The sequence below is a fragment of the Homo sapiens genome, chromosome X (genome assembly GCF_000001405.40).
Source record: "Homo sapiens chromosome X, GRCh38.p14 Primary Assembly".
Lineage (NCBI taxonomy): Eukaryota > Metazoa > Chordata > Mammalia > Primates > Hominidae > Homo > Homo sapiens.
The window spans coordinates 37,380,190-37,407,076 of record NC_000023.11 but is presented as its reverse complement, the minus strand read 5'-3'; the positions used below and the strand labels follow the sequence as shown (position 1 = coordinate 37,407,076).

The 26,887-nt window shown below is 38.0% G+C and overlaps 1 protein-coding gene across 5 annotated transcripts in view; it reads right to left on the bottom strand.

Moving 5' to 3' along the window:
- Nucleotides 1-26,887, bottom strand: part of PRRG1 (proline rich and Gla domain 1) — a 107,928-nt gene that overhangs the window by 50,215 nt on the left and 30,826 nt on the right. For 3 of the 5 annotated variants that reach the window (NM_001173490.2, NM_001142395.2, NM_001173486.2), the window contains exon 2: nucleotides 818-868. In NM_001173490.2, the coding sequence (NP_001166961.1) occupies nucleotides 818-827 (10 nt within the window). In that variant the 5' untranslated portion in view covers nucleotides 828-868. Of the gene's footprint in view, nucleotides 1-817; nucleotides 869-20,387; nucleotides 20,479-26,887 lie in introns of all 5 variants that reach the window. The other 2 variants (NM_001173489.2, NM_000950.3) reach the window with 1 other exon arrangement.

Below are 26,887 nucleotides of genomic sequence, written 5' to 3'. Positions count from 1 at the left end.
TAACTATGCAGTAAGCCTTACATAGAAAGATGTTAAAATTCTGTTAAAATATCCTAAACTTTGTCTATTCGAGTGATCCCCAAACTTCTACAACTGGAAACAGTGATTTCCATTCTTTGGAGTCCGTCCTCAACCTTTGCACTCAAATAAACTCTTTAAACTAGATTCTGACCCTTTTGATTATTTTAGGTTGACATGATATACATTAATTAGAATTATTTATGAAGTCCCTGTGGTGGCTGCTTAATATTAACAATGAAATGAACTTAAATTTATCTGTTGTCCACTGCCCATAAACAGCCTTATGAGAAGGCAAAAATAAACAAAAGGAATTCATCTAATGGTTCTTAATGCCGGGCTTTAAAATTTTTAAAAAAATTACAAATCAACCTCACAGATGATTTTTTTTTACTACTGTTATTGGCTGCATAGTAGACTCTCTTTATTTTGTGTTACTAGCAAGAAAACAGAAAACAGAAAAAAGACTTATAAAGAAGCTGGGTTTGGGGAAGGTGTATATATATAGTATCTGTGAGTTATATATATAAAATAGTATATACTATATATATAGTATCAAGCTTGATCCATCTCTCCCTATACTGGGAGGTCTCTACAAAAGAAGAAAATCAAAGATCCAGTGAATAAATGTGGTTGATGGTCTTTCTCTGAAAAGCCCTGCTTCAGACAAAAACTTTCTAACACTAACAAGAAATACAATTTAGGTGTCCACAAATATACTATGAGTTAGAAATTTAATTTCCTGACTATAATAGCTATGGAGACAGTCTGAATTACTTAAAAAGGAAGAGAAACTTACCCCTCCCCATGTTTTCTTGTGGTTTCTGGCACGTCCCTGGATGATGATTCCCTGTACAAAACAGAGCACATACACACAGTCAGATTGATAGAGGCTGAGTGGCTACATCAGATAAGCTCCAGTACAGCTGATGTGGTCAATGTGAGCATTTCATTTCAGTACATTCCAATCTTTCTCCCTTACATAAATGTTTTCTCCCTCACAAAGAGAAAATCTAACCTCAGAGGACAGAAGCACAATATTCTGGAAGCAGGGGCTCTATATCAACTTACTATGACCTTCTTTATCTGGTACTAGTTTCTGCGTGTGCCAAATAACAATCCTCAAATTGGTCACACACTTATCTCTTCAGAAAACAGCAGTATCAACAAAAATGGCAGACAAAAATCCCAAAAGGTCCAATGCTAATAACCAGGCCAGCAAGTTACTAGCTTTCCTGTCTCCGGCTTCCCTTCAATATCATTCTGTGACAAATCCAATACCCTTTAAAGTGTAACATTTTCCCAAACGGTGTAAAACAACAGCATCCCTAATCAAATTAGCCCTGAGGCAAAGCAGCCCACAGAGTTATTTCCAATAAACAGTATGAACCAATGATCATAAACTACTGACAACAGAAACTTTGGAGAAACAAAAAACATACACTGCAATTACAGAGAAAGGGTGTACACAGGGGAGCAGAAATTCTGTTTCCAAAAGATGAAAAAAAAAAACACTCATACATACACAGAAACCAATTCATATCATAATGCTTCATTTTCTCACAGGGTTCAATCATAGAGCTATCATGTATTTATTATTCACTTGTCATGTTCCCAATATGAAACTAAGCGCCTGAAAGGTAAAGCTATAAGACATAAACTATCAGTCCATTAAGGAATCTATAACCTACTTGAAGTTAAGCAGAGACCAATAAGGAATAAATATTAGACTGAGACCTGATAATCAGCTGTGTGACACTTGATCAATCATTTCCTATCATAAATTCTTTGCAAAAGGAGGAGGCTCAACTATATGAGTTTTCCCAAATTATCCTCCACAGCATGTTAAAAAGTGTGTTATTCAAAAACAGAGCTCTTTGATCTGGTAATAGGGCAGAAACTAGTACCAGATAAAGAAGGTCATAGTAAGTTGATACAGAGCCCATGCTTCCCATGTAGGAAATACCGACTTAATTTAATCAGGTTTCTTTATTATAAGACTTTTCAGAGCCTTTAAAATGCTAATGAGCAATGGGACAAAAGTACAGTCTCAAAATATTTAGCTATACAGTCCTTTCTGTAAGCGATGGGCGTTTCTCAGGAGTCTTGTTCTTTGGAGCTCATTTTGGAAAACTGGACAAGATAACTGCTAAAGTTTCTTGCAGCTCTGAAATTCTATTATTTTAATCATATGGAACAAAATTAGCATAAAGTGAATCAAGAAAGAAGTCAAGGGGGCTGGATTCTCAGATAATTTTGGAGTTGAAAGGAACTTTAGAAATCATCTAATGACTTCTCATCAACACATCTTTTTTGAAAGCAGCAGACAGCCCTCAAAAAATTTTATGCGGACCACCAATATATAAAAAATGGGTTAGGGTGGAACTCTTCAGGCAGAATTGGGGTGGAGGGTTGTAGTCTCACCCATTGAGATTTTTTCTGGAGGTGGCCTGGACATACCTCATCAGAAACCTAGCACTATAGGAAGCACAATTTGAAATACAGTGACTCCTGACCCTTCAGATAAAGCTATTCTGGGAAACCTTTAGGAAAGTGTTAGAACTCATACCTTTTTACAGGAAGGTGCTCACCCTTCCCAAGTGTCATCTCAATTTTAACTGTAACCCATTCAAATCAGATAAATGAAATAATCATTATGTCAACATAACTATAAAACCATCCTTACTCCAGGAAATACCAAAAGAAAGTTAATATACTAAAATATAATCCATGTACGAATGAGAAGCATGAAAGAGTTAAACAGGGTAGTGATATAGCTAAATTGGGATTTAAAGAAGACACCTCTGGCAGCAGTAGGGAAAGGAGATTTGAGGTGTGAGAGTGGCTTGACCAGGGACAGTGATATCAGAGATGCTAGGTAAATCTGGCAGGACTTCTCATATTTTATTTTTTGTTTATTCTTTAATATTTAATAAAGTCTTTTAGAAAAGAATCAAACCTATTTCAGTTGTGTTAGGAAAAACCACAAAGGAACGAGCTGTCAGGCATGGGCCAGGATTTTCAAAGAGGAATTGCTGCTCCAGAGGTCAGCATGGTGGAGACAACAAGCATCACTGGAGGCAGCCATCTTCCAGGGGAAGATAAAACCAAGGAGGCAAAAATCAATACTACATGTCAGCCACCTCACCGAGCGTTTCAGTAATAAACTTCCAAAGATCAGCATCTTATTTTAAATAAGACAATTTTCTTAGAGAGATAAAAGGCTCAAGGCCTAATACCCATATCACCTCAAGCCCCAAACTCCCCCAGGCCCAGGTTACCTCCTTGCTTCTTCTGATGGAATGATCTTTCCATTCGGATCCTCTGCTGTTCTAGTCTCTGGTCCCTTCTTTTTTGTCTGTGTGTGTGTGTTAAGATTCATTTTATTTTATTTTATTTTATTTTATTTTATTATTTTATTTTATTATTATTATACTTTAAGTTTTAGGGTACATGTGCACAATGTCCAGCTTAGTTACATATGTATACATGTGCCATGCTGGTGTGCTGCACCCATTAACTCGTCATTTAGCCTTAGGTATATCTCCTAATGCTATCCCTCCCCCCTCCCCCCACCCCACAACAGTCCCCAGAGTGTGATGTTCCCCTTCCTGTGTCCATGTGTTCTCACTGTTCAATTCCCACCTATGAGTGAGAACAGGCGGTGTTTGGTTTTCTGTCCTTGCGATAGTTTACTGAGAATGATGATTTCCAATTTCATCCATGTCCCTACAAAGGACATGAACTCATCTTTTTTATGGCTGCATAGTATTCCATGGTGTATATGTGCCACATTTTCTTAATCCAGTCTATCATTGTTGGATATTTGGCTTGGTTCCAAGTCTTTGCTATTGTGAATAGTGCCACAATAAACATACGTGTGCATGTGTCTTTATAGCAGCATGATTTATAGTCATTTGGGTATATACCCAGTAATGGGATGGCTGGGTCAAATGGTATTTCTAGTTCTAGATCCCTGAGGAATCGCCACACTGACTTCCACAATGGTTGAACTAGTTTACAGTCCCACCAACAGTGTAAAAGTGTTCCTATTTCTCCACATCCTCTCCAGCACCCGTTGTTTCCTGACTTTTTAATGATTGCCATTCTAAGTGGTGTGAGATGGTTTCTCATTATGGTTTTGATTTGCATTTCTCTGATGGCCAGTGATGGTGAGCATTTTTTCATGTGTTTTTTGGCTGCATAAATGTCTTCTTTTGAGAAGTGTCTGTTCATGTCCTTTGCCCACTTTTTGATGGGGTTGTTTTTTTCTTATAAATTTGTTTGAGTTCATTGTAGATTCTGGATATTAGCCCTTTGTCAGATGAGTAGGTTGTGAAAATTTTCTCCCATTTTGTAGGTTGCCTGTTCACTCTGATGGTAGTTTCTGTTGCTGTGCAGAAGCTCTTTAGTTTAATTAGATCTCATTTGTCAATTTTGGCTTTTGTTGCCATTGCTTTTGGTGTTTTAGACATGAAGTCCTTGCCTATGCCTATGTCCTGAATGGTAATGCCTAGGTTTTCTTCTAGGGTTTTTATGGTTTTAGGTCTAACGTTTAAGTCTTTAATCCATCTTGAATTAATTTTTGTATAAGGTGTAAGGAAGGGATCCAGTTTCAGCTTTCTACTTATCGCTAGCCAGTTTTCCCAGCCCTTATTAAATAGGGAATCCTTTCCCCATTGCTTGTTTTTGTCAGGTTTGTCAAAGATCAGATGGTTGTAGATATGCAGTATTATTTCTGAGGGCTCTGTTCTGTTCCATTGGTCTATATGTCTGTTTTGGTACCAGTACCATGCTGTTTTGAGTACTGTAGCCTTGTAGTATAGTTTGAAGTCAGGTAGTGTGATGCCTCCAGCTTTGTTCTTTTGGCTTAGGATTGACTTGGTGATGCGGGCTCTTTTTTGATTCCATATGAACTTTAAAGTAGTTTTTTCCAATTCTGTGAAGAAAGTCATTGGCAGCTTGATGGGGATGGCATTGAATCTATAAATTACCTTGGGCAGTATGGCCATTTTCATGATATTGATTCTTCCTACCCATGAGCGTGGAATGTTCTTCCATTTGTTTGTATCCTCTTTAATTTCATTGAGCAGTGGTTTGTAGTTCTCCTTGAAGAGGTCCTTCACATCCCTTGTAAGTTGGATTCCTAGGTATTTTATTCTCTTTGAAGCAATTGTGAATGGGAGTTCACTCATGATTTGGCTCTCTGTTTGTCTGTTGTTGGTGTATAAGAATGCTTGTCATTTTTGTACATTGATTTTTTATCCTGAGACTTTGCTGAAGTTGCTTATCAGCTTAAGGAGATTTTGGGCTGAGACAATGGGGTTTTCTAGATATACAATCATGTCATCTGCAAACAGGGACAATTTGACTTCCTCTTTTCCTAATTGAATACCCTTTATTTCTTTCTCCTGCCTAATTGCACTGGCCAGAACTTCCAACACTATGTTGAATAGGAGTGGTGAGAGAGGGCATCCCTGTCTTGTGCCAGTTTTCAAAGGGAATGCTTCCAGTTTTTGCCCATTCAGTATGATATTGGCTGTGGGTTTGTCATAGATAGCTCTTATTATTTTGAGATACGTCCCATCAATACCTAACTTATTGAGAGTTTTTAGCATGAAGGGTTGTTGAATTTTGTCAAAGGTCTTTTCTGCATCTATTGAGATAATCATGTGGTTTTTGTCTTTGGTTCTGTTTATATGCTGGATTACATTTATTGATTTGCGTATATTGAACCAGCCTTGCATCCCAGGGATGAAGCCCACTTGATCATGGTGGAAAAGCTTTTTGATGTGCTGCTGGATTTGGTTTGCCAGTATTTTATTGAGGATTTTTGCATCAATGTTCATCAAGGATATTGGTCTAAAATTCTCTTTTTTGGTTGTGTCTCTGCCCGGCTTTGGTATCAGGATGATACTGGCCTCATAAAATAAGTTAGGGAGGATTCCCTCTTTTTCTATTGATTGGAATAGTTTCAGAAGGAATGGTACCAGTTCCTCCTTGTACCTCTGGTAGAATTCGGCTGTGAATCCATCTGGTCCTGGACTCTTTTTCGTTGGTAAGCTATTGATTATTGCCACAATTTCAGAGCCTGTTATTGGTCTATTCAGAGATTCAACTTCTTCCTGGTTTAGTCTTGGGAGGGTGTATGTGTCGAGGAATTTATCCATTTCTTCTATATTTTCTAGTTTATTTGCGTAGAGGTGTTTGTAGTATTCTCTGATGGTAGTTTGTATTTCTGTGGGATTGGTGGTGATATTCCCTTTATCATTTTTTATTGTGTCTATTTGATTCTTCTCTCTTTTCTTCTTTATTAGTCTTGCTAGCAGTCTATCAATTTTGTTGATCCTTTCAAAAAACCAGCTCCTGGATTCATTAATTTTTTGAAGGGTTTTTTGTGTCTCTATTTCCTTCAGGTCTGCTCTGATTTTAGTTATTTTTTTGCCTTCTGCTGGCTTTTGAATGTGTTTGCTCTTGCTTTTCTAGTTCTTTTAATTGTGATGTTAGTGTGTCAATTTTGGATCTTTCCTGCTTTCTCTTGTGGGCATTTAGTGCTATAAATTTCCCTCTACACACTGCTTTGAATGCATCCCAGAGATTCTGGTGTGGTGTGTCTTTGTTCTCGTTGGTTTCAAAGAACATCTTTATTTCTGCCTTCATTTCGTTATGTACCCAGTAGTCATTCAGGAGCAGGTTGCTCAGTTTCCATGTAGTTGAGCGGTTTTGAGTGTGTTTCTTAATCCTGAGTTCTAGTTTGATTGCACTGTGGTCTGAGAGACAGTTTGTTATAATTTCTGTTCTTTTACATTTGCTGAGGAGTGCTTTACTTCCAACTATGTGTACAATTTTGGAATAGGTGTGGTGTGGTGCTGAAAAAAATGTATATTCTGTTGATTTGGGGTGAAGAGTTCTGTAGATGTCTATTAGGCCCACTTGGTGCAGAGCTGAGTTGAATTCCTGGGTATCCTTGTAAACTTTCTGTCTCGTTGATCTGTCTAATGTTGATAGTGGGGTGTTAAAGTCTCCCATTATTATTGTGTGGGAGTGTAAGTCTCTTTGTAGGTCACTCAGGACTTGCTTTATGAATCTGGGTGCTCCTGTATTGGGTGCATATATATTTAGGATAGTTAGCTGTTCTTGTTGAATTGATCCTTTTACCATTATGTAATGGCCTTCTTTGTCTCTTTTGATCTTTGTTGGTTTAAAGTCTGTTTTATCAGAGACTAGGATTGCAACCCCTGCCTTTTTTTGTTTTCCATTTGCTTGGTAGATCTTCCTCCATCCTTTTATTTTGAGCCTATGTGTGTCTCTGAACGTGAGATGGGTTTCCTGAATACAGCACACTGATGGGTCTTGACTCTTTATCCAATTTGCCAGTCTGTGTCTTTTAATTGGAGCATTTAGTCCATTTACATTTAAAGTTAATATTGTTATGTGTGAATTTGATCCTGTCATTATGATGTTAGCTGGTGATTTTGCTCGTTAGTTGATGCAGTTTCTTCCTAGTCTCGATGGTCTTTACAATTTGGCATGATTTTGCAGTGGCTGGTACTGGTTGTTCCTTTCCATGTTGAGTGCTTCCTTCAGGAGCTCTTTTAGGGCAGGCCTGGTGGTGACAAAATCTCTCAGCATTTGCTTGTCTGTAAAGTATTTTATTTCTCCTTCACTTATGAAGCTTAGTTTGGCTGGATATGAAATTCTGGGTTGAAAATTCTTTTCTTTAAGAATGTTGAATATTGGCCCCCACTCTCTTCTGGCTTGTAGAGTTTCTGCCAAGAGATCAGCTGTTAGTCTGATGGGCTTCCCTTTGTGGGTAACCCAACCTTTCTCTCTGGCTGCCCTTAACATTTTTTCCTTCATTTCAACTTTGATGAATCTGACAATTATGTGTCTTGGAGTTGCTCTTCTCGAGGAGTATCTTTGTGGCATTCTCTGTATTTCCTGAATTTGAATGTTGGCCTGCCTTGCTAGATTGGTGAAGTTCTCCTGGATAATACCCTGCAGAGTGTTTTCCAACTTGGTTCCATTCTCCTCGTCACTTTCAGGTACACCAATCAGATGTAGATTTGGTCTTTTCACATAGTCCCATATTTCTTGGAGGCTTTGTTCGTTTCTTTTTATTCTTTTTTCTCTAAACTTCCCTTCTCACTTCATTTCATTCATTTCATCTTCCATCACTGATACCCTTTCTTCCAGTTGATCGCATCGGCTCCTGAGGCTTCTGCATTCTTCACGTAGTTCTCGAGCCTTGGCTTTCAGCTCCATCAGCTCCTTTAAGCACTTCTCTGTATTGGTTATTCTAGTTATACATTCGTCTAAATTTTTTTCAAAGTTTTTAACTTCTTTGTCTTTGGTTTGAATTTCCTTCTGTAGCTCGGAGGAGTTTGATCGTCTGAAGCCGTCTTCTCTCAACTCGTCAAAGTCATTCTCTGTCCAGCTTTGTTCCATTGCTGGTGAGGAACTGCGTTCCTTTGGAGGAGGAAAGGCGCTCTGCTTTTTAGAGTTTCCAGTTTTTCTGCTCTGTTTTTTCCCCATCTTTGTGGTTTTATCTACTTTTGGTCTTTGATGATGGTGATATACAGATGGGTTTTTGGTGTGGATGTCCTTTCTGTTTGTTAGTTTTCCTTCTAACAGACAGGACCCTCAGCTGCAGGTCTGTTGGAGTTTGCTAGAGGTCCACTCCAGACCCTGTTTGCCTGGGTATCAGCAGCGGTGGCTGCAGAACAGCGGATTCTCGTGAACCGCGAATGCTGCTGTCTGATCGTTCCTCTGGAAGTTTTGTCTCAGAGGAGTACCCGGCCGTGTGAGGCGTCAGTCCGCCCCTACTGGGGGGGTGCCTCCCAGTTAGGCTGCTCGGGGGTCGGGGATCAGGGACCCACTTGAGGAGGCAGTCTGCCCGTTCTCAGATCTCCAGCTGCGTGCTGGGAGAACCACTGCTCTCTTCAAAGCTGTCAGACGGGGACATTTAAGTCTGCAGAGGTTACTGCTATTTTTTTGTTTGTCTGTGCCCTGCCCCCATCTGGTCCCTTCTTTCAGCGTGTATGTGTGTGTGTGTGTGTGTGTGTGTGTGTGTGTGTGTGTTAGTTTTTATACTTCTGTAAGCAGCAGTATTTATTTATCTTGATTCTCAGTCAGGTCCCCATCCCAAACTAAACATTACTTCTAAAATAATGACAATACACTTAAAAACAATAACAACAAAGCAGCTTTTAGCCAGACATTAGAAAATCAAATAATCTTTGTTCTATGGATAACCCACCCTGGCATTACATACCCTCTACAAGCAGGTTCCACCTTCCTTAATAGTTATACTACACTCCAGCCAAACCAGCCTCTACTCATCCCTTAAATATGTTTTGAACTGGTCCAACTCTTTGCCTCTGCTCTTTTCCTCTGTATTATCTACTACAAAAATTCCATTCATCCTTCAATATCAATAGTGATATTTTCCCTCATTACCTGAGTAGAAAGTAATTTCTTTTTCCTTTGAACTCTCATAATGCTACCTCATCCTGATGTTCATATCTTATAGTGTCTATCAGACTAATTCTCAAAGAGTAAGCAATTTGTCTTCAACACCTGTATCTAGCCTGTGCAAGGCAGTAGATCATTCCCAAAGAGGATTCTAGTGGCCTACACAAACCAGACTTAGGGGAAGCTCATTTGTGCTTAAGTTTCCCTTAGTATAAATGAGTGCTTCAAACTCCAGTAATTCACATACCACCTTAATCAATTTGATGAGTTGTGTTTAATGTATCTGTTGTGTACAGTTAATGTTTCTTTCAATTAAGTTACTTTTTAACTTCAGTATCGACTTTAGCACTGTCCTATAAAATAGCAGGCAAAAACATGGGTTTGTCATGTTATATATTTTCTAATGTATATAAAATACATAACTATTAAAGTTATAGAAATTTTTCCAGGTCATACCTAGATATTCAAAGCATATCACAAGTGGTACATTTTGTGGGAGACTGTTCTTTCCTGTCTTCAGTCAATCCAAAAATATTTGGTGAGTGTCTTTTATTTGCCACACGCTATTTTATTCTTCAGAGTAGTGGTTCTCAACTGGAGGCAATTTTCCCCCGAGGGGGCATTTGGCAATGTCTAGAGATATTTTTGTTTGTCACAACTGGAGAGGGGTGCTGCTGACATCTAGTGGGTTGGGGCCAGGTACTGCTAAACATCCTACAATGCATAGAACAGCCCCCTACAAGAAAGAATTAACCAGTCCAAAATGTCAATAGTGTCAAAGTTAAAAAACCCTGCCTTAGAGAAAAAAATTGGCAAACGAGAGACAAATTATCTGCTTTTTTTTTTTGAGTTTACAATTCAGTAACAATGTTATACATGATACTCTCAGTATTGTATTAGTCTCTTCTCACATTGCTGATAAAGACATACCTGAGACTGGGAAATTTACAAAAGAGGTTTAATGGACTTATGGTTGCATGTGGCTGGGGAAGCCTCACAATCATGGCAGAAGGCAAGGAGGAGCAAGTCACATCTTACATGATTGGCAGCAGGCAAAAAAAGAAAGCTTGTGCAGGGAAACTCCCCCTTACAGAACCATCAGATCTCATGAGACTTATTCACTATCACAAGAACAGCACGAGAAAGACCTGCCCCCCATGATTCAATTACCTCCCACTGGGTCCCTCCCATAACACGTGGGAATTCAAGATGAGATTTGGGTGGGGACACAGCCAAACCGTATCAAGTATATTCAAGTAAGAGTCAACAATCTACAGTTTTCAGGATTTCTTCTCTGTGTGCATTTCTTGTATATGGAAGTCATATTGGCACTGAACAGATGTCCAGTACCACAGCTTTTAAAATTGTAAGTTAAGACTTTATTGATCTTTATATTGTTCATACAGTTTAGAAATGACAACTTAACAATGCAGAAATGCAGTGTTCAGTACAGTACTTAGGTAGAGCAAACTAATATCCACATTATTAGGAGCCCAGCATCACTAAAACTGTCAAACAACTATATACAGAAGTATGCATCCCCAAATACAGGCTGAAGGTTGCAAAGTGGACACTATGTTTTAGATGGAGATCCAGACTGACTTTATATCAATTTCCTGGGAGCTGCTATCATTTCAGTTCAGAAAATACCAAACAAAATACCACTGTATAATATACAGTTGTTTGAATGTTGATTGAATAATTACTATGTTATAATATACTAGGGAAAATGTTAGGCTCTTTTATATATTACTTATCTTATTAGATGCACTAAAATTTCCTTAATTTGGGACAATAATAGAATCTGTATCATATTTTATCTACCTTTTGGAAAGTATATCTTTTCTGAGAACCATATCAGGTTTGTTTCCTGTTGATTTTTCAGTCTGAATTTTTTTACTATAGTCTTTCTTAATTGTATATATTTAAGGTGTATAACTTGATGTTTTGATATCTTTTTTTTTTTTTTTGAGATGGAGTCTCACTTTGTGGCCTGGGCTGGAGTGCAGTGGTGCAATCTCAGCTGACTGCAACCTCCGCCTCCCGGGTTCAAGCGATTCTCCTGCCTCAGCCTCCCGAGTAGCTGGGATTATGTGCACCCATCTCTATGCCCAGCTATTTTTTTGCATTTTTAGTAGAAACAGGGGTTTCACCATGTTGGCCATGCTGGTCTCGACCTCCTGACCTCGTGATTCGCCCGCCTTGGCCGCCCAAAGTGCTGGGATTACAGGAGTGAACCACTGTGCCCAGCCTTGATATACTTATCTTAATAGACACATACAAGCGTGAGCTTTTAAATGATGACACGTTATATACATCTCAACAAAGAGTTCCAACAACAGGTAAGAGCATGGGTTTTGCTATCATACATATGTGGGCTTGAGGCCTTGTCTGCCAATTACCATCTATCTGATCTTGGGAAAGTTATTTAGCCTCTTTAAGACTTAGTTTCTTCAACCATAATGGGGTTATTAATAGTAGCTCTAATTTCACAGGCTTTGAGGGAGGATTAAATAACAGTTTTAATAGTTCTTAGTAACAGTAAGCAGGACCTATGAGGATACTAACAAAGATTTGGTATTTTTCCCCTCAAAATGTTTTGGTACAATCTGGTTCTTGAGGTTTATCTTCTAGTTGGTCAATATGGTTCAATACATTAAGTGTAACTATTACTACTTCAGACAGAGAGTGATATAAGGTATATTTTGTAAGCTGAATGTTTTAAGTTAAATATGATTTGGCTTCAGCTGCTTTGATGTTTTAAATTTGGAATGATTTAAATTTGGAACTCTTAGAGAACTGGAGGTTCTCTAAGAGTTCCTTTGCCATTTTTGATGTTCCTTAAATGTACTTGCCCCTCTTTCCCAGGCTTCCTGTGACAATAGACTGGAAACTCCTATTCTTGGTAGTTATTCTTCTTCCAGTAATCCTCTGCGATTCAATTATATCTAGCTCTTTATTAGTTTTGAAACACTGCAGGCTACATTTTAATTTGTAGAGGACTTCTATGTTGACTTTACTTTTTAGCCACATGGCTCTCTCATGGTTAATTAGGCAGGTCAATCACTTCACTGTCCACCACAGTGCTTGGACACAACATGACTATAATACCTGGTTACTCTCCTTAAGGCTTTGCCAATCCCAGCCTCTTGCTCTTCCCCAGACCCCAAGGCCCTTCTAATTTTTAAGGGTAAAAGGATCTAAGGGCCCTGTGGCATACTCTAGAGATCAGGCGCTCCCTGGAGTTCATTCCCTCCTCGTGGTGTCTCTTAAAGTCACAACTCTCTTTGGCTATCTAAGAGCTCTTCTGTAAGTGAAAGTTTCATCCTATTTGGCCTCTGGGAGTTTCACCTCTGCATCTTTCTGCTTCTACATCCTTCAAAGAATAGAAATTCAACTGGTATTTGTTGTATATCTATTATGATAAGGCAATTTCACTTATGTCATCAGTGCTTGCAACAACTCTATGAGATAGGTACAAAAAGACTTCTTGATAAATGATAAAACTAAATTTCAGAGAAATGGACTTACTCATGTTTGCATAGTAAATAGGAGGATCTTAGGACTGGGTTTTTTAAAACTTATCAACACATTTACATAAAAAATGCCAACATTAAAACTCGATGACTTTTCACAAACACAGTTGTGTAATTGGCACCTAGATCAAGATTCAGAATGCATTCCCAAGATTTTAACCTAGGGTTTCTGACATCAACCCCAGTGTTCTTTTAATCACATATGTAGTCGTTCAAAAAATATTTACTTACTGCTTATTATATTTCAGTCATTTTGCTAAACATTGGGTTGTTAATGGTGAATAAGGCATCTGCGATCCCTGCCCTAATAGAGCTTAGAGTCTATGGGGGAGTCATAATATTTTGTTTAACTATAAATAAAGGACCTTAAGGTAATAGAGTAACTTAAAGAAGTTCAGTTTGATTTCAGCATAACCAGCAAGGGAGAAGGTGGGAGACAAAGACAAACAGTCAAATCATACAAGGCTTTACTGGCTGGAAAACCATTTGGATTTCCTTGTAAATGCAGTGGGAAACCACTAAGCAATACCTCTGTCTTCATAAAATAACCTATTACCTAAGAGCTTGCTTAATTCTTCAATTATTTTAACCTTTAGGTATTTACTATGTGCCATTCACTTCACAAAGCCTACTGTTTCAAATGTATAAAAACAATAATTGATATAAAAGCTTGAGGTATAGATATATGTAAATTTATATTAATATTATGTATAATTAATATTAAATATAATATAAAATTAATATATTATACATTAACATAATTATATAAAATACATTATAAAAGTATATTATTAAATACTTTAAAAAATGAATGTGTCTGATATGTATATTTATACATGCTGCTCTTCAGTGCTATATACACTAGGGAAGAGCATCAAAATGCTGTTAGATGTTGCTGAAATTCAGAGATACCTCCTACAATCTCTAGAGCAAAGCTAGGCAAGCTATGCAAATGAACAAAGGATACTTTGTTTCTGTTGTCCAATCATCCTCAGAGTTGGATACAGTAATATGTAGCAAATTCAGTGGTTGGTTTCTCAATTCAACAGATATGTAAATACTCAAATAAAATATACATTGTGTGTCTACTACATGCTTAGGTGCTAGAGAATCCAACAGTAAGCAATACAGACACAAACCCCTGCCCTCACTAAAGGTACAATCTAGAGGGAAGAAATAGTTAACCTGTGTCTGTTTATTTAAACAAGCAAAAGTATAGTGTGTAAAACAGTGATAAATAGTGGTACCTATCAAGGAGAAAAATAAGGCAGGAAAAGATGTTATTTAAATAACTATTGCCTGTGTAAGAGAAGTACTTCTGTGGGTTTATTTATTTTGGGAGGATACTTGTCTTTACTAGTTTTCTTTCTTTCTTTTTTTTTTTTTTTTTTGAGACAGAGTCTTGCTCTGTCACCCTGGCTGGGGTGCAGTGGCGTGATCACGGCTCACTGCAGCCTCTGCCTCCCAGGCTCAAGTGATCCTCCCACCTAAGCCTCCTGGTAATTTTATTATTTTTTTTTTTTGTATAGACAGGGTTTTACCATGTTGCCCAGGCTGGTCTCAAACTCCTGGGCTCAAGTGATCCACCCACCTGGGCAAAGCTAGGCAAGCTTGAGCCTCCCAAAGTGCTGAGATTACAGGTGTGAGCCACCACACCTGGCACTAGTTTTCTAATGATACATCAGTTGGTGTATATCAGGGGTCAGTTGGCTTTTTCAGTAAAAAGCTAGAGAATAAATATTTTAGGCTGTGAGGGTCATATGGTCTCTGTTGTAACTACCCAACTCTACTATTATAGCATGAAAGCAGCCACAGAAACAAATTTGTGTGTGGCTATATTTTAATAAAAACTTTATTTATGGCCACTGAAATGTGAATTTTATATAGTTTTCATGTATCATAAAATACTCTTCTTTAATTTTTTTAAAGCATTTAAAAATGTAAAACCATTCTCAGTTCATGGACACAAAAAACTGGCAGCCAGCCATTATTTGACAATCCCTGGTGTATACAATGAAATGGCTTACTGAATTTTCACACATCAACAAGTCAAAAAAAAAAAACAAGGAAGCCCAGTGTAAGTATCATTGAAACAGAGATCCAGCACCATCAATAACAACAGTAAGAGAATTCTCTTTCAAGTGAGAGATACTAATTTTATATGACAGTGGGACTTATATTTCTAGTGCACAATAAAATATTAAAGATAATGGTACAACCATCTAAATAAAATTATCCTAACTATAGAAACACCTCAGTGAATAAAAACGTCATTGCATACCACATCAAACAATCTAGATGCCCTATAAATCACTTCATAAAGTCAATTGTATTCTCTAACAGAAATAGTTTATTTCATCCACAATGATGTTTGAATTTTCCCTTCCATCCCAATAAATCTATACATTCAGCCTTGACCCACCCCTTCAGTTCTACAATTCTAAATGCCTCAGAGAAATCTACACCTGGATATCTTGCCACCACCTGAAATACTATGAATCTAAAAACAAATATTTTCTCCACCACACATATAAACTCGTTTCTCCTCGAAATTCCATAATATTAATAATACTTTTATTACCTAATTCAACCCAAGTTTTATGGAATGACATTTTAAGATGTTAACTAAAGTTGTTTCTCCCAATAGTTGATTTTTTTTTTCTGCTTCTTTCTTTACTGTGTATTTACCATCTGCCCTGCAAGTAGCTAAGCCATTTTGTGTTTATTGCTTCAAATGAAAGACAAGTATGGGTCAGAAAAAGAGAAAAAATAAGTTTTTCTGTCTTTTAAGGTACTCGGGAAAAGCAAGAAGTCTTCTAGCAGATGAAATGATTAAATAAAATAATGACAGCAAAGTTCCTCCTCCAATCCTACCCATCCAAACCCACCTCCCAGGCTAGAAAGTCTCCTCTGGATTGAAGGAAAGAGAGAAATCAGTGAGGCCTAGGTTGGAAGAGTCAGATCTGAAAGGAATCAAACAGATTAAAAATGAAGGAGCATTTTTAGTGACGACCATTTCTTGAATGCTCAGGAGGCCCTTGGGGGTGGGTTCAGCATCTACAGACCATAAGAGCAAGCACATGGTCAGAATCATTCCTGGGGCTATGTGCTGAGGGCTTCCCTTGGGCAGTAGCCACTCCCTTGCTGATGACCTCCCTACCTTAAGGATGCCTACCCATGCCTGAGGCTTTAGCCAGTTGCCATCCAGTTTTTATCCATGCCTGAAGCTTTAGCCAGTTCCCATCCAATTTTTATCCATGCCTGAGGCTTTAGCCAGTTCCCATTCAATGTTTCCTTGTAGATAGCCATCCTTGTAACTTCCCTGGAACTTATAAGCCCTGAAGAAGACGATCCTGGACACTCTGTGACAGTAAGAGTAGTGGTGGTGTCTACAGTGATGAGGACAAGCTCTGTATTTGGAATTAGCAGAGTGAGGAAAGGAGTGGCAAGCACTAGGAATCACTAGCCTGATTTCTTATACCATAAATGAGTTTTATGTTTTTGATCTTCATATAAATGAAATCATTAGTGTATGCTTTTAGATCTTTTTGGCTTCTGCTTAGTATCTTGTTTGTGAGATTCATCCATACTGTTGCATGTAATTGTAGCAGATTCATTCTTACCACTGGCTCTGTATATTATACGCACACACACAGGCACGTACATACACACACACCCCTGTTCATTTTTTCATTCTACCAGTGATAGACATTTGGATTGTGCTATGGTCTGAATGTTGGTGTCCCTCCAAAATTCATATGTTGGAAATTAATACCTAATATGACAGTGTTAAGGAGTGGAGCCTTTGGGAAGGGATTAAGTCATGAGGCTCCATTCTCATGAATGGGATTACTATCCTTATAAAAGAGGCTTGAGGGAGCTTCCCATCCCCTTTTGCCATGTGAGGACACAGCAATAAGGTGGTACCATCTTTGAAGCAGAGAGTAAGCTCTCACCAGACACTAAATCTGCTGTCATCTTGATTTTTGACTTCCAGCTTCCAGAACTGTGAGCAATAAATTTTTGTTTTTCAAAAATTACCTAAAGTATTTTGTTATAGCAGCCTGAATCAACTAAGACAGGTTGTTTTCAGTTTAGGGAAAGTAGTAAAACAAACTCCCATTACACAGGTTTAAAACAGTGGCAATATCCATGGCTCAATCTAACATTACCAATCAGTAAGACCTACTCACTTCCTTTGCTCTAACAGCAGATCCCAGTCTATTCTCACCCCTACAAATCCTAGCCACATCTCTTTAAATTGATAATATGTGATATGGTTTGGATCTCTGTCCCTACCCAAATCTCATATTCAACTGTAATTCCCAATGTAGAAGGTGAGGTCTGGTGGGAGGTGACTGGATCATGGGAGCAGTTTCTCATGAATGGTTTAGCACTATCCCCTTAGTACTGTTCTTGTGAGAATGAGTGAGTGAGTTATTGCAAGATCTGGTTGTTTAAAAGTGTGTAGCACCTCTCCCCTCTACCTATTCCTCCTGTTCCAGCCATGTGAAGTGCTGGCTGCCCTTCACCTTCCACCATGATTGTAAGTTTCCTGAGGCTTTCCCAGAAGCCAAGCAGATGCCAGCATTATGCTTCCTATACAGCCTGTGGAACCATGACCCAATTAAACCTTGTTTCTTTATAAATTACCCAGTCTCATGTATTTCTTTATAGCACTGCAAGAATGAATTAATAAAGAAAATTGGTACCAAGGAGTGCAGCACTGCTATAAAGATACCTAAAAATGTGGAAGTGACTTTGGAACTAGGTAATGGGCAGAGGTGGAAGAGTGTGGAGGGATCAGAAGGAGATAGGAAAATGCAGGAAAGTTTGGAACTTCCTAGAGACTGGTTGAATGGTTATAGTGATATGGACAGTGAAGGCCAGGCCGAAGAGGTCTCAGATGGACATGAGGAACTAACTGGAAAATGGAGCAAAGGCCACTATTGTTATGTCCTTGCAAAGAATTTGACTGAATTGTACCCCCACCCTAGGGATCTGTGGAACTTTGAACTTGACAATGATGATTTAGGATATCTGGCAGAAGAAATGTCTCAGCAGCAAAGCATTCAAGATGTGGCCTGGCTGCTTTTAACCACCTATTCTAATATGTGTAGGCAAAGAAATAACATAAAACTGGAACATATTTAAAAGGAAAGCAGAGCATAAAAGCTTGGAAAATTTGCAGCCTGGCCACGTGGTAGGAAAGAAAAGTCAATTTTCAGGAGAAGAATTCAAGAAGGCTGCAGAAATTTGCAGAAGTGGAAAGAAACCAAATACTATTAGCCAAGATGATGGGGAAAAACTCCTCAAAGGCATTTCAGAGATCTTCATGGCAGCCCCTCCTATCACAGGCCTGGAGGCCTAGGAGGGAAGAACTGTTTCATGGGCCAGGCCCAGGGCCCTGCTGCCCTGTGCAGCCGGGGGACACTGCTCCCGACATCGCAGTTGCTCCAGCTTCAGTCGTGGCCCAAAGGGGCCCAGGTTCAGTTCAGGCCACTGCTTCAGAAGATGTAAGCCATAAGCCTTGGCAGCTTCCACATGGTGTTATGCCTGTGAGTGCACAGAGAGCAAGAGTTGAGGCCTGAGAGCCTCTGCCTAGATTTCAGAGGATGTATGGAAAAGCTTGGATGTCCAGACAGAAGCCTGCTCCAGGGGCAGAGCCCACATGGGGAACCTCTACTAGGGCAGTAAGGAGGAGAAATTTGGGGTTGGAGCCCCCACACACGTCACCACTGGGGCATTGTCTAGTAGACCTGTGAGAAGAGGGTCACCATCTTCCAGACCCCAGAATGGTAGATCCACTGGCAGCTTGTACCCTCAGCCTGGAAAAGCAGAAGGTGCTCAACATCAGCCCTTGAAAGCAGCCAAGGGTGCTGAACCCTGCAAAGCCAGAGGGGTGGAGCTGCCCAAGGCCTTGGGAACCCACGCCTTGTATCACTGGGCCATGGATTTAGGCCATGGAGCCAAAGGAGATTATTTTGGAGGTTGGAGGTTTAAGACTTAATGACTACCTTCCTGGATTTCAGACTTGCATGGAGCCTATAGCCCCTTTCTTTTGATTGATTTCTCCCTTTTGGAAGGGGATTTATTACCCAATGCCTATACCCCCATTTTATTTTGGAAATAAGTTGTTTTTTATTTTACAGGCTCATTGGTGGGAGGGGCTAGCCTTGTTTCAGATAAGACTTTGAACTTTGGACTTTTGAGTTAATGCTGAAATGACTTAAGATTTTGGGGGACTATTGGGAAGGCATGATTGTATTTTGCAATGTGAGAGGGACATGTGATTTGTGGGGGGCTAGTGCCAGAATGATATGGTTTGGATCTGTGTCCCCACCCAAATCTCACAATCAAGGAGGTGGGTCCTGGTGGGAGGTGATTGGATCATGGGGTCAGTTTCTCATGAACGGTTTAGCACCATCCCTTGGTGCTTTTCTTGTGATAGTGAGTTCTCCCGAGATCTGATTGTTTAAAACTGTGTAGCACCTCCCCCCTCTCTCTCTTCCTCCTGTTCCAGCCATGTGAAGTGCTGGCTCTTCGCCTTCTGCCACGATTTAAGTTCCCTGAGGCCTTCCCAAAAGCTAAGGAGATGTCAGTATCATGCTTCCTGTACAGCCTGTAGAAACGTGAGCCAATTAAACCTCTTTTGTTTATAAATTACCCAGTCTTGGGTATTTCTTTATAGCAATGTGAGAACAGACTAATATAGTATGCTTCATAAAGACAATAAATACCTTAATTCTTAGGATCTTTCCTAGAATATACACTTAGTATGTGCTCAAGGAAAGGTTATTATACATGTGTAATCATTACCATCAAAGTGATCAATAACATTTTTTAATGTAGAAATGTAATTTATATTTTGACATCTTGGTTGATAAGGTCTTGGAATTGTTTTAAGTGTTCTATTTTGGGTATCTCTCACCTTATGAAATGTCCCTAAAGCCAAACTCTCCAATACTTAAACAGCCTATGATTAGCTACATACTTCTCCTCACCTTTATCAAGATGCTCAGAGGGAGGTGACAGAGAAGTAGGAATTAAAAAGAGGAGATAAGTTCTGGTAGGCTATTTGAATACAAGGTCCTGGCAACTCGTATCTTTAATATCATCAGGAGAAACTGAAAAGAGGCTTTTAGCATAACAAACCATGGGAATAATAACAGCAGCAGATAATAACATAGTGCTTTGTTATCAGATCATTGTGTTAATTCCTTTAATCTTTGCAATTTTATGAGTTAAATATAAAACTATTATTATCCCCACTTTACAGGTAAGGAATTTGATACAGAGTGGTTAAACAATTTGCCCAGGATCATAATGTCTGCAAAGTGGCAAGGCTAAGATTCTTACCTAGGTAATCTGGCTCTATGATGATATACAATAGCAGGTTCTTGATTGGGGTTGGGGAGGTGGATTTCTTTCTCTAAATGGGGTGAGCATCCTACAATTTAAACAAAATATTAGGTTGAGCTATGTGTGAGCAAATGTAAGTATGGATTTTAAAGACACTTCATATATGCAAATAAAGCTTTTCAGCCATTAAAAAGTATGAGAAGAGGATTACAAAGGGACAGTAGGAAACTTTTGCAGGTGACTGCTTGCCCATTATCTAGATTGTGATGATAAATTCATGAGTGTACACATACATAAAAAAAATCTCCAGTTGTACACTTCAAATATGTGTATGTATGCCAATTATATGACAATTATACCTCAACAGAGCTCTGTGAAAAAGGATAAAATAGATCTACAGATAAGCCAATCAAAAAATAAAAAAGGATGTCCACAATGTATTGAGTAGAGAAAAAATTATAAAACAGTATTCATGATATCATTTGTTAGATATGTATAAACACATATGTAAGAGCATATTATACATATATAAAATGTTATCTGTGAGGTTATTTTGTAGCCTCTGGCAATACAAAGAGCTTTCACTGAGGCATCCCTCAACAGGTACATGAAGAAGCCATCTTGGGCTGGGCACCAGTAGCTCACGCCTGTAATCCCAGCACTTTGGGGAGGCCAAGGCCGGTGGATCACCTGAGGTCAGGAGTTTAAGATAAGCTTGGCGAACATAGCAAAACCCCATCTCTACTAAAAATACAAAAATTAGCCAGGCATGGTGGCAGGCATCTGTAATCCCAGCTTCTCGGGAGGCTGAAGCAGGAGTATCGCTTGAGCCTGGTAGGCAGAGGTTGCAGTGAGCCTAGATCACGCCACTGCACTCCAGCCTGGACGACAGAGCGAGACTCCGTCTGAAAAACAAAAAAAAAAAAGGAAGCCATCTTGGAAGCAGATGCTTCAGGCCCAGTCAAGCCTTTGGATGACTGCAGCCCCAGCCTACATCTTGATAGCAATCTCATGAGAGACCCTATGCCAAAACCACCCAGCTGAGTTGCTCCTAGATTGCTCTCAGAAACTGTGTGAGATAACAAATGTTTATTACATGAAGCTGCTAAGTTTTGGGGTAATTTGTTATGCAGTGGTAGATAAATAATACAGCATATAGTACTGCTCTTTTGTAAAATTATATTATATATATATATACACATATATATCTCATACATACAGAAAAGTATACGAATCATTAGTATACACCTTGTTGAATTTTCACAAAGTGAGTCCACCCAGGTAACCAGCACCCAAATCAAGACACTTAGCAGAATAGTACTAGCACCCCAGAAACCCTCCTTCTGCTTCCTGTCCAGTTACTAATTCCTAATAAGGGTAACGACTACCCTGACTTATTACACGTTTTGTGTGTTTTTGAATTTCATATAAATGGAATCATAGTATGTACTCATTTGGATCAAGCTTCTTTTGCTCAACATCATGTTTGTAAGATTCATCCATATTGTTGCATATAGTTGTAGCTCATTCATTCTCACTACTGATTCCATGTTAGGTATATATCCCCATTTATTTATTCATTCTATTGACAGAAATTTAAGTTATTTCAAGTTTAGGTTTATTACAAGTAGTGCTGTAAACATTCTTGTGCATGTCTTTTGATGAAACTATGTATCTGTTTCTGTTGGATGTATGCCTATATTTCTATTTCTGTTGGGTGTATGCCTATATTTCTATTTCTGTTGGGTGTAGAAGTAGAATTAATGGGTCACATGCTGCCTATATTCAGCTCTACTCATTACTACTAAACAGTTTTCCAATGTGGTTGTACCAATTTACACTCCCAGCAGAGTTTCAATTATTCTATATCTCTATATTCTTACAAACTCTTGGTATTGTCTTTTTCATCTTTGTTACTCTTGAGGGGGTAATGGTATCACATTGTGCATTTTCCTGATAAGTGATGAAAATGAATACCTTTTTGCACATTGGCCCTTTGAATATCTTTTGTGAAGTGCCTGTTTCAAGTCTTTTGTCCATTTAAACATACATCAATTTTTGGATCAGCTAAAGGCCATAATTTCCTAAACTTATGAGTTCTGTATAATATTGTGAAAATAAGAGTCTTGGAGCAACAGAACAGTCATCAAAATAAAAGGAAGATAGAACTAATAGTAGGAATATAGTTACGTGCCTCTTCTAGAAATATAAGAGAAATAAGAACAGCAGTAAGGCAGAAGGAATCCTTAAGGTAGAAATGAGACAAAAAAGAGAGAAGCCATTATGAAGACAATGCATCTGGACAGGATTTGCTTCATTTTGGTGGGTGGGAAGTAAGCCACACATAGGAGATAGCTCAAGAATCTTATGTTAGCCTTAGCCACTGTCCAGAAAGTCTTTTCCATGGAAATGAAGGGACACGGATGAGTTTTAACCCTATTATATAGCGGTATATAACTCAGGGCAGTTCAGTGATAGTAGGCAAAACAGTAAATATTCTGCAAACGGGAAAGTATATCACTTGTAAGTGTGGTTGCATTATATCACCCTTCTCAAAAGAGGAAAAATGGTCATTTATATATACCCTTGAATGGCCAGTAAGTATATACTAACCTTCCTTTAACCTCACAAGCCTACATTAGGCTTTAGTTTCTTTTTTTTTTTTCTTTTATGAGTTACCAGAATGCACTATGGCATTAGGTGCTTATTTTTAGTTTACCGATTAAATTTTAGTAAGATTCTTCAGATAGCAGAACAATCAGTTTAAAAAGTTAATTTTGCTGGACAAGATCAATGCATAATGGACACCATGTATAAGTGAAAAAGTAGAATAAACAATGTGGCTTTGGTTGTATCATCTTAGGCATACCACAGCACAGAATTTTAGCTCCAAATGTAACAATCTGGTGTTTTAAAAGTGATCATATAAGAAGTTCAGGTATTTTAATTTTAAAATAAATAAGGTCAGATACACTAAATTACTTCAAGAGGTCAATATAGACAATTCAACCAGAGAGAAATAGGTTCTCACATTTTTAACTCTCACATTGTCATACTGTATAAGCATGTCACAAAAAAATGACATTGAGAAATCATTGCAAATAGCATATGGGACAAATGTGATATGCCTCTGAGGCCTTAGAAGGACACAGTTATTTCTGTGAGATGTAACACTGTTGCATCACTAGATACTAAATCATGTCACTGTAGTGAATGTTTAAGAATATCACATTACAACTACCAGGAGAACCAAAATGTAATGACTTGACAGAGATAATAAAACATTAGCCTCAATTCTCAAGAATATATATTTTGCAGGATGAATTCTTAAATAAGATTTACATGTTCAATAAAGACTTTCTAAGTAAAGATCCATGTTCTATAAATATCATTAAAAATTATTCAAAGGAAATTTGTCTCAACAAAAAATTAAATTGTTAAAGCTACATAACAATAAGAATTACATCTCATAAAAGCATGAGTGTGGGTTTGTTTGTAATATAAAATTAAAAGGCACGTGCAGAAGCACTTTTTCCCTTTGCAAACTAGTATCTTTTCCTGCAGAAGTAGCCCAGACAAAATTACAAGGATGGATTCCTGGGAGAAGGTGATGTTCTTAGGTTACACTAACTACATAGGTAAAGAAAATCTAAAAATAATGTGGAATTCTAGGCTTGAATTATCGATTTCTTTTGCTTTTAAACTCTTCAACTCAATCTAATTGAACTGGAGTGCTATGAATTCTCGGAGAGAAAGCAGAAGAGAAATGAAACAAGGGTCCTGGAAAGTCCACAAACTAGAAAATGAGCTTAATCACATTTGATTAAAAATGACCAATCCTCAAAGGGAGATTTGATTTTGTAATGATGTCCTATTTTAGTTAATGCTTTCAGAAATCATGTGTATCTTATTTGATGTTATTTCCTCATATGCATCACTAAACTTGACACATACTAGACATGCAAAAATCTATTGAATTAAAAAGATATTTTAATGAGTTGAGCTCATATGTTATTCCAGTTTGTATTCTATGTTTTTATTCATACATTATAAGAATCTTCCTATAAACATGATTCTTAATAGTTGCATTATACTCATGTACCATAATTTAACCATTCCTAAATGTTTTACCATTTGGAAATAAACCTTGTTATATCCATACACTGGAAAATTATGCAGCCTTTAAGATTTGATTATATTTTTGTAGCTGCAAAATATACACATAGCTGTGTATATCATATATATCTATAGCTGCAAGATATACACATAGCTGTGTATATCTTAGTACACTGCTACATTATTTCCTTGGGGAAGAAGAGTGTGAAAACCTAGATCAAGACATCTGGAGACAGAGCTATCTTATTCTTTGGGGCAAGCACGTGCATACTACTGGTAAAATTAAACAGGGGGGTTATCAGCTCTTCACATGTGTCAATTAATTTAACCAGCCTGCCTCTTAATACTTAACTGAAATAAACTACAAAAATTGAAGCTTTCCTATAGTGAAGTGGAGATGGTATGGCAGTGAAAGAGTTAGATCACAAAGGGTGAGTGTGGAATAATTGATTCCGACCAGGCAATACACAACAGACAAGTCCATTCTGTTCCTTCACCAACTGTGAGATATTTTTAGGAGTATGTTTCCTCTCCTATAAAAGGCTTCCAGGTGAAATGTATGAAGACTCAGGGAAGCTTGAGAAGAAAGGGCCAAGATATAATCTGTGCACACTTTGTTTGTTCATTGCAGGGGTTATTATATGCATATGATCAATTGTTGCTTTACCTCACAAATTATCTTATATAAAATTTCAGTTGTTATATATTTCTGGATATCACTTAATTGGTGTCCTAGATTATCACCAAATCATGATAAAAAAGGAAATATGTACACCAATTCAACAAATTAAATTTAATATTTCTGTATCAAATTCACTTTATTCACACTAGGTAGGCCTGTTCTGGAAAGAATTAAACATGATTTACACAAAATCATGTAATAAAAGAAGATAAAATAAAAGTTTAAAAATAAGCATTTGAGAAAAACATGACAAAGGGAAAGATCAATAATAAGAGAGATAAGACAGAGACAGGATATAGAAGGTTCTGTAATTTTGACAAAGTAAGGGGTAAACCTCCTAGTAGCCAATGCCAAAAAAATAATTTGTTACATGAGCTATGGTATCCTAAGATAAAAATAAACCAGTTGCCCAGAAACTTTATTACTTATGATTTCGAGATTAGACAGAAAAATTATCCAGTGTCCTCAAAAGAAGAAATGTAATGAATGATGTCTTCAACATCCTTATAGTATATACAATAACACATTTAATGCCATAATTTCTTATAACTTCTTTCTTATAAGTCGGCCAAGGGCAAGATAGCATAGAAGCAATGTACTCTGTATTTGTATAACATATTTAGAAACTGGCCCACTCAAATGGCTTCTTAAAACAACTTAGACACAATCGAAAGCATACCTAGTGGAATGATCATGCCAAAGGAAACTCATTGCACCTGGGTGGTTCAGACCAATGTCAGATGGTCACTCTATAAACAAAACATAAAAGATCTGACTCACTCTACTGGCCCTTCTCCAAAAAGAACAGCAGTCCTGAGAGAACTGCTGATAAGCAACTCCATGGGCCAAGATAATTCTGATTATTGTTCCATTCTAAAGAATTAAGGGCAAAGTATTATAGTTCATTTGGGGGTAGCCTTGGTTCCCTAAGAATTACTACTCCCCAGAAGCAGTTTGTGGAAATCCTGCCAAGTTGGTTTACAGAATCAGTGCAGCCCTGGGATCAATCAGCCAAAAGAAAATAGGATGTTTGTTATTATATGGTTATAGCTAAAAAGTATCCCCAAAACCTTATACTGGAGTCTAACTGTCGGGAAACAATGTACTAAAGGATATGGTACTGGGTGGAGGGAACATTTTCTGGACTATTACCACTTTAGTACTCCATTTTCAGGTGGATTCAAATCTATCTGTAAATTCCTTCTTTCCCCTAGTTACATATCTTTTCATCAGAGTTGAGGTACAGGAACAGAGGTATGGAGGGAGTTCTGTCTGAAGATTTTTTTCTTGCTCCCCCAGCTCTACATCAAGCACATTCATACCATTTTACTTGATCTGCTCATTAAAAACCCAATGAGTCCAGAGAGGTGAATAATCATACCTGTTTTACAGATGAGGAAACCAAGGCTTAGTTTGGTTACAGAGCTACTACTTATTATAACCTGTAGTACCACATTCCAGGTCTGATTCTTAATCTAATGTTGTCCTCACTAAAGTATTGAACCAAGAATGGAAAATTATCAGCTCTCAGCTTACTGTCCTACAGTAGATTTTCTAATATTAAAATGCCCATTTTTGCAACTTGCAAATTAAAAGCAACAAATATAAAGGCATGCAAATATGAATCAGAGGTTCTAAGACAGGCTCTCGGAGTTCTGGCCCTTTTTATTTGCTTTTCTACTACAAGAAGAATCTTAAA